We start from the raw sequence: 6351 nt of genomic DNA on the forward strand, positions 1-6351 counted from the left end.
GAACTAGTTTACAGTCCCACCAACAGTGTAAAAGTGTTCCTATTTCTCCACATCTTCTCCAGCACTTGTTGTTTCCTGAATTTTTAATGATTGCCATTCTAACTGGTGTGAGATGGTATCTCATTGTGGTTTTGATTTGCATTTCTCTGATGGCCAGTGATGGTGAGCATTTTTTCATGTGTCTTTTGGCTGCAAAATGTTTTCTTTTGAGAAGTGTCTGTTCATATCCTTCGCCCACTTTTTGATGGGGTTGTTTGTTTTTTTCTTGTAAATTTGTTGGAGTTCATTGTAGATTCTGGATATTAGCCCTTTGTCAGATGAGTAGGTTGTGAAAATTTTCTCCCATTTTGTAGGTTTCCTGTTCACTCTGTTGGTAGTTTCTTTTGCTGTGCAGAAGCTCTTTAGTTTAATTAGATCCCAATTGTCAATTTTGGCTTTTGTTGCCATTGCTTTTGGTGTTTTAGACATGAAGTCCTTGCCTATGCCTATGTCCTGAATGGTAATGCCTAGGTTTTCTTCTAGGGTTTTTATGGTTTTAGGTCTAACGTTTGAGTCTTTAATCCATCTTGAATTGATTTTTGTATAAGGTGTAAGGAAGGGATCCAGTTTCAGCTTTCTACATATGGCTAGCCAGTTTTCCCAGCACCATTTATTAAATAGGGAATCCTTTCCCCATTTCTTGTTTTTGTCAGGTTTGTCAAAGATCAGATAGTTGTAGATATGCGGCATTATTTCTGAGGGCTCTGTTCTGTTCCATAAAGGGTTTTATTTCTCCTTCACTTATGAAGCTTATTTTGGCTGGATATGAAATTCTGTGTTGAAATTTCTTTTCTTTAAGAATGTTGAATATTAGTCCCCACTCTCTTCTGTCTTGTAGAGTTTCTGCCGAGTTATCAGCTGTTAGTCTGATGAGCTTCCCTTTGTAGGTAACCTGACCTTTCTCTCTGGCTGCCTTTAACATTTTTTCCTTCATTTCAACTTTGGTGAAACTGACAATTTTGTGTCTTGGAGTTGCTCTTCTTGAGGAGTATCTTTGTTGCATTCTCTGTAGTTTCTGAATCTGAATGTTGGCCTGCCTTGCTAGATTGGGGAAGTTCTCCTGGGAAATATCCTGCAGAGTGTTTTCCAACTTGGTTCCATTCTCTCTGTCACTTTCAGGTATACCAATCAGATGTAGATTTGGTCTTTTCACATAGTCCCATCTTTCTTGGAGGCTGTGTTCATTTCTTTTTGGTCTTTTTTCTCTAAACTTCTCTTCTCACTTCATTTCATTCATTTGATCTTCCATAACTGATACCCTTTCCTCCAATTGATCGAATTGGCTACTGAGGCTTGTTCATTCATCACATAGTTCTCGTGCCTTGGTTTTCAGCTCCATCAGGTCCTTTAAGGACTTCTCTGCATTGGTTATTCTAGTTAGCCATTCATCTAATTTTTTTTCAAGGTTTTTAACTTCTTTGCCATGGGTTTGAACTTCCTCCTTTAGCTCCGAGGAGTTTGATTGTCTGAAGCCTTCTTCTCTCAACTCATCAAAGTCATTCTCCATCCAGCTTTGTTCCATTGCTGGTGAGGAGCTGTGTTCCTTTGGAGGAGGAGAGGCATTCTGATTTTTAGAGTTTCCAGTTTTTCTGCTCTATTTTTTCCCCATCTTTGTGGTTTTATCTACCTTTGGTCTTTGATGATGGTGACATACAGATGGGTTTTTGGTGTGGATGTCCTTTGTGTTTGTTAGTTTTCCTTCTAACAATCAGGACCCTCAGCTGCAGGTCTGTTGGAGTTTGCTGGAGGTCCACTCCAGACCCTGTTTGCCTGGGTATCAGCAGCGGATGCTGAAGAACAGCGGATATTGGTGAATAGCAAATGTTGCTGCCTGATCGTTCCTCTGGAATTTTCGTCTCAGAGGAGTACCCGGCCGTGTGAGGTGTCAGTCTGCCCCTACTGGGCGTTGCCTCCCAGTTAGGCTACTCGGGGGTCTGGGACCCACTTGAGGAGGCAGTCTGCCTGTTCTCAGATCTCCAGCTGCGTGTTGGGAGAACCACTACTCTCTTCAAAGCTGTCAGACAGGAACATTTAAGTCTGCAAAGGATTCTGCTGCCTTTGGTTTGGCAATGCCCTGCCCCAGAGGTGGAGTCTACAGGCATCCTTGAGCTGCGGTGGGCTGCACCCAGTTTGAGCTTCCTGGCCACTTTGTTTACCTACTCAAGCCTCAGCAATGGTGGGCACCCCTCCCACAGCCTCGCTGCCACCTTGCAGTTTTATCTCAGACTGCTGTGCTAGCAATGAGCGAGGCTCCATTGGTGTAGGACCCTCCAAGCCAGGCATGGGATATAATCTCCTGGTGTGCCATTTGCTAAGACCATTGGAAAAGTGCAGTATTAGGGTGGGAGTGACCTAATTTTCCAGGTGCTCTCTGTCACCCCTTTCTTTGACTAGGAAAGGGAATTACCTGACCCCTTGCACTACCCAGGTGAGGCAATGCCTCGCCCTGCTTCAGCTCACGTTTGGTGCACTGCACCCACTGTCCTGCACCCACTTTCTGACACTCCCCAGTGAGATGAACCCAGAACCTTAGTTGGAAATGCAGAAATCACCCATCTTCTGTGTCATTTACACTGGGAGTTGTAGACTGGAGCTGTTTCTATTCGGCCATCTTGTCTCCACCCCCCAAAAACACAAAAATTTTATATAATGGAAGCTGCATCTTATGGTCAAGATTAAAAGTTTATAGATTGTTCATAAAATTTTGAATAACAAATTTAATTGCCTTCATGCTGTTTTTATTAGGGCTTATTGTTTGGAAAATGAAGTCTCCTCTCTCAAAGAATGAAGGTTTTCACATTATTTTTTAAATCCTTGAGTTATCACATTGGTTAAATGAATGACTTATTTTACAGTGACCTGTGATCCTATTTTGTGATATCATGTGTTAAGTCTTTGATATTTGAGAAACTTTCCAAAATTAAATTATAAATTATTTTCTGACCTAATTAATGTTTTAAGATATTACATTCCCTAAAGTCCAAAAATGACATAAGTTGGCAGTTTTTGGTACAAAAATTTTACAGGAAGCACTGTCAAATATAAAATTGTGTTTGGTTTTCTTTGGGTTGTATTTGTACAAATGTCATTAGTATGTGTTCCAGAATTATGGAAAACTCCTATAATTCTGATATAACTTAGTTTACATTATTAGTAATAATTATAATTGTTATGATAAATTATTGTGTGCCACAGAAGTAACAAATTTCCTTGTCAATTGTGTCTTTGACTATGGCTGCCCTAAAACTTTTTATCATCCATGGACAATTGTTGTCTTGTTTTGGTCCTCTTTATGAGATGGTTCTATAATCAGCTACAGAACTCTAACAAGTGTTCTTAAATGCAAGTTTCTGATAACTTTGGAGATGGTGACATGAGAATAGAGGAAAAAAACTTTCAGGACTCATGGAGAGCTGAAATGTTTATGAACATCAAACAGAATAGGAGTTAACTGCCTAAACTGAACTGATAGAAGACTAAAGCAATCTTTTTGACTTTTGCTGTAAACATTGCTAATCCTTTGTTTTGTTGTTTTTGAGTCTTGAAACTTCTTTTGAGCTATTCACAGCTTTTAACAATTTAGTATACTCCTATGAACAAAATTTGGAGCAGATTTTTTTCTCTCTACCTGATTTCTCCAGAATTTGGAAACAATCTGTGGATATTCTTAACTTATGGCAATACAGTTATTTGCATAAATGCAGTAAGAATGTTTCCATTTGTAACAGGATACACTCAGATAAATTGGTTATTTTACCAAGGCTTTGACTGACATGGTGTGCTTTCATTTAAGGAATCAAACTTGACTTATGTAGCCAATAAAGCCCTTGGAAAAACTGGCCTCATATTTTGTGTGCACAGTCCCTGTACAGGGTTTCTGACATGCAGTAAGTAAAGAATGTCACTTTCTGATAGGCCGAGAAGCCCCAGGCTTATCTTGAAACCTCAAGAGGAGAAGAAATTCACCCAACTTATAGATATTTGATGACACAAATCCATGGTTGGGCTCAGCTTTAAGTCTTATCTGAGATTCCTCTTATGGAACAAGTTCCATCAAAGCCAATTTGGAAGCTATGTTTCTTGCTGCACTGTATAAAAATAATTAGGCCAAGTATAATAAAGGAAACCAGTCCTATCATAATTTGTCTTTAGTAAAAATGGGAAACTGGAGAGAGAAAAATTATGTTTCAAAATATAGTACACCTGTTGGTAGATTCTATTCTTGCCTAATTTTTTTCAGTTTTTATTATTTTCTATATTTTGGAGCAAATTCTAATTTTTCTTGGCTACACATCTTCAAAATAATGTTTTTTTCCTTCTTTTTTTACCCATTTTTCCTAATTTGGAGTCACAACTAAGCTGTGCTTTCTTATATTCCTGTGAACTGAAGCCAGACAACTTAAACTTCAGAAGAAAATAACAGCAACCTATTTACATACATATGCCACTTTCATATTTGCCTATTAATGTATGGACTTCAGAGTAATGTGGCCTGTATCAGTTTTTGTAGGACTGTTCTTTTGTTTGTTGTTGTTTTTCTCCCTTCCTCCCCCTATTTTCTCTTCATATGACATAAGACTTCACAACCTGCTAAAAACCTTGGGACCTAACCCATCTAGGAATAAACCATCGTAACCATGATAGATCAGATAAAACCTGAGACCAGAGACTCATTTTCTTCTAAAATGCTTTCTCCAAAACCTTTTAAAAAAGAAAAGGTCGGGGGGTGGGTATGTGAAAGGAAAATATCTTGGGCCCCAAAATCATGAAGCTAAAATTCAAGCTGAAAATTGCTGAAGGCAAACCTGCCTCCCATTCTGTTCAAAGTCATCCCTCTGCTCACAGAGATAGATGCATAGTCTGATTGCCTCCTTTGGAAAGGCTTATCAGAGACTCAAAAGAATGCAAACATTTGTCTCTCACCTACCTGTGACCTGGAAGCCCCCCGGTGGGGGCTTTCTTTGAGTTGCCGCCACATTTCTGGATGAAACTAATGTACTTATTATATATATTGGTTGATGTCTCATGTCTCCCTAAAATGTATAAAAGAGAGCCATGCCCCAACCACCTTGGTTACATGTCGTCATAACTTCCTGATGCTGTGTCACAGGTGTGCATCCTCAACCTTGGCAAAATAAACTTTCTAAATTAACTGAGACTGGTCTCAAATTTTCAGGGTTCACAGCTGCTAACAGTACACAAGTATATCTTACAGCTCAAGTTTCCTGCCTCCAGAAAGAGCAGCTGCTCCTCTTTCTCACTTCAGTTTTAAGTTGTTGGGAATAGGACACTTATTGGTCAAACATGGGGTCAGTTGCTCGCTGGTTGTGGCAATCACAAGGCCATGGGAGTGCCTTTACTTTAAAGTGCATCACTTTAATTAGATTCTGGGCCCTTTTAATTGGATTATTTCACATGCTGGGAGAAAGGTACTTGCAAGAGGAGGGGAAATCCTTGCAAACTAGGCAGTCAAATCAGCCAAGTAAATATTCTGAGGCTGTTTCCACTTCTGCCTTTCCACTTACAGTCAGGATACTGCACTGCCCAGGAAACACAGTACCAGTGGTGTTGTCAGGAGCATCCAGCATTGACAGAGGACTAAAGGAAGGCATTAAGGGAGACAAAATCTGTTTCTTTGAGGTTCTTGCAGGACTCATGCAGAACCTTAATTATTAGCCACATTTGACATTGTAAATAACACCTCTCTTCTTGAAATGTTCTCTTTCCTTAGTTTTCATGATGTCACATGCTGTTTTTTATTTATTTATTTATTTATTTATTTATTTATTTTTGAGACAGAATCTCACTCTGTCTCCCAGGCTGGAGTGCAGTGCATGATCTTGGTTCGCTGCAGCCTCTGCCTCCTGGGCTCAAGCCATTCTCCCACCTCAGCCTCCCAGGTAGCTGGGACTAGAGGTTCAGGCCATTATGCCTAGATAATTTTTGAACTTTTTTATAGCGATGGGGTTTTGTCATGTGGCCAGACTGCTCTCCAACTCCTGAGCTGAACTGATCCACCTGCCTTGGCCTTCCAAAGTTTTGGGATTACAGGCATTAGCCACTGTGCATAATGACACATGCTGTTTTCAACCCCAAGGTTGATGAGAACAGAAAACATTTACTTATCCCTTTCTCTATACTAGACAGTGTGCTAAATATTTACATGAATGTTTAAATTGAATAATCTAATTTAATTCTTAGAATACTTTATCAGCTAGGGAGTATTATTTTCTCCATTTTGTAGGTGGAGAAACTGAGGGCTGAAAGAGGAGAACATGTTTCCTATGCCTTAAGTGTTTATTTTTCTGTGAG

Source organism: Homo sapiens, chromosome 6 (assembly GCF_000001405.40).
Source record: "Homo sapiens chromosome 6, GRCh38.p14 Primary Assembly".
Lineage (NCBI taxonomy): Eukaryota > Metazoa > Chordata > Mammalia > Primates > Hominidae > Homo > Homo sapiens.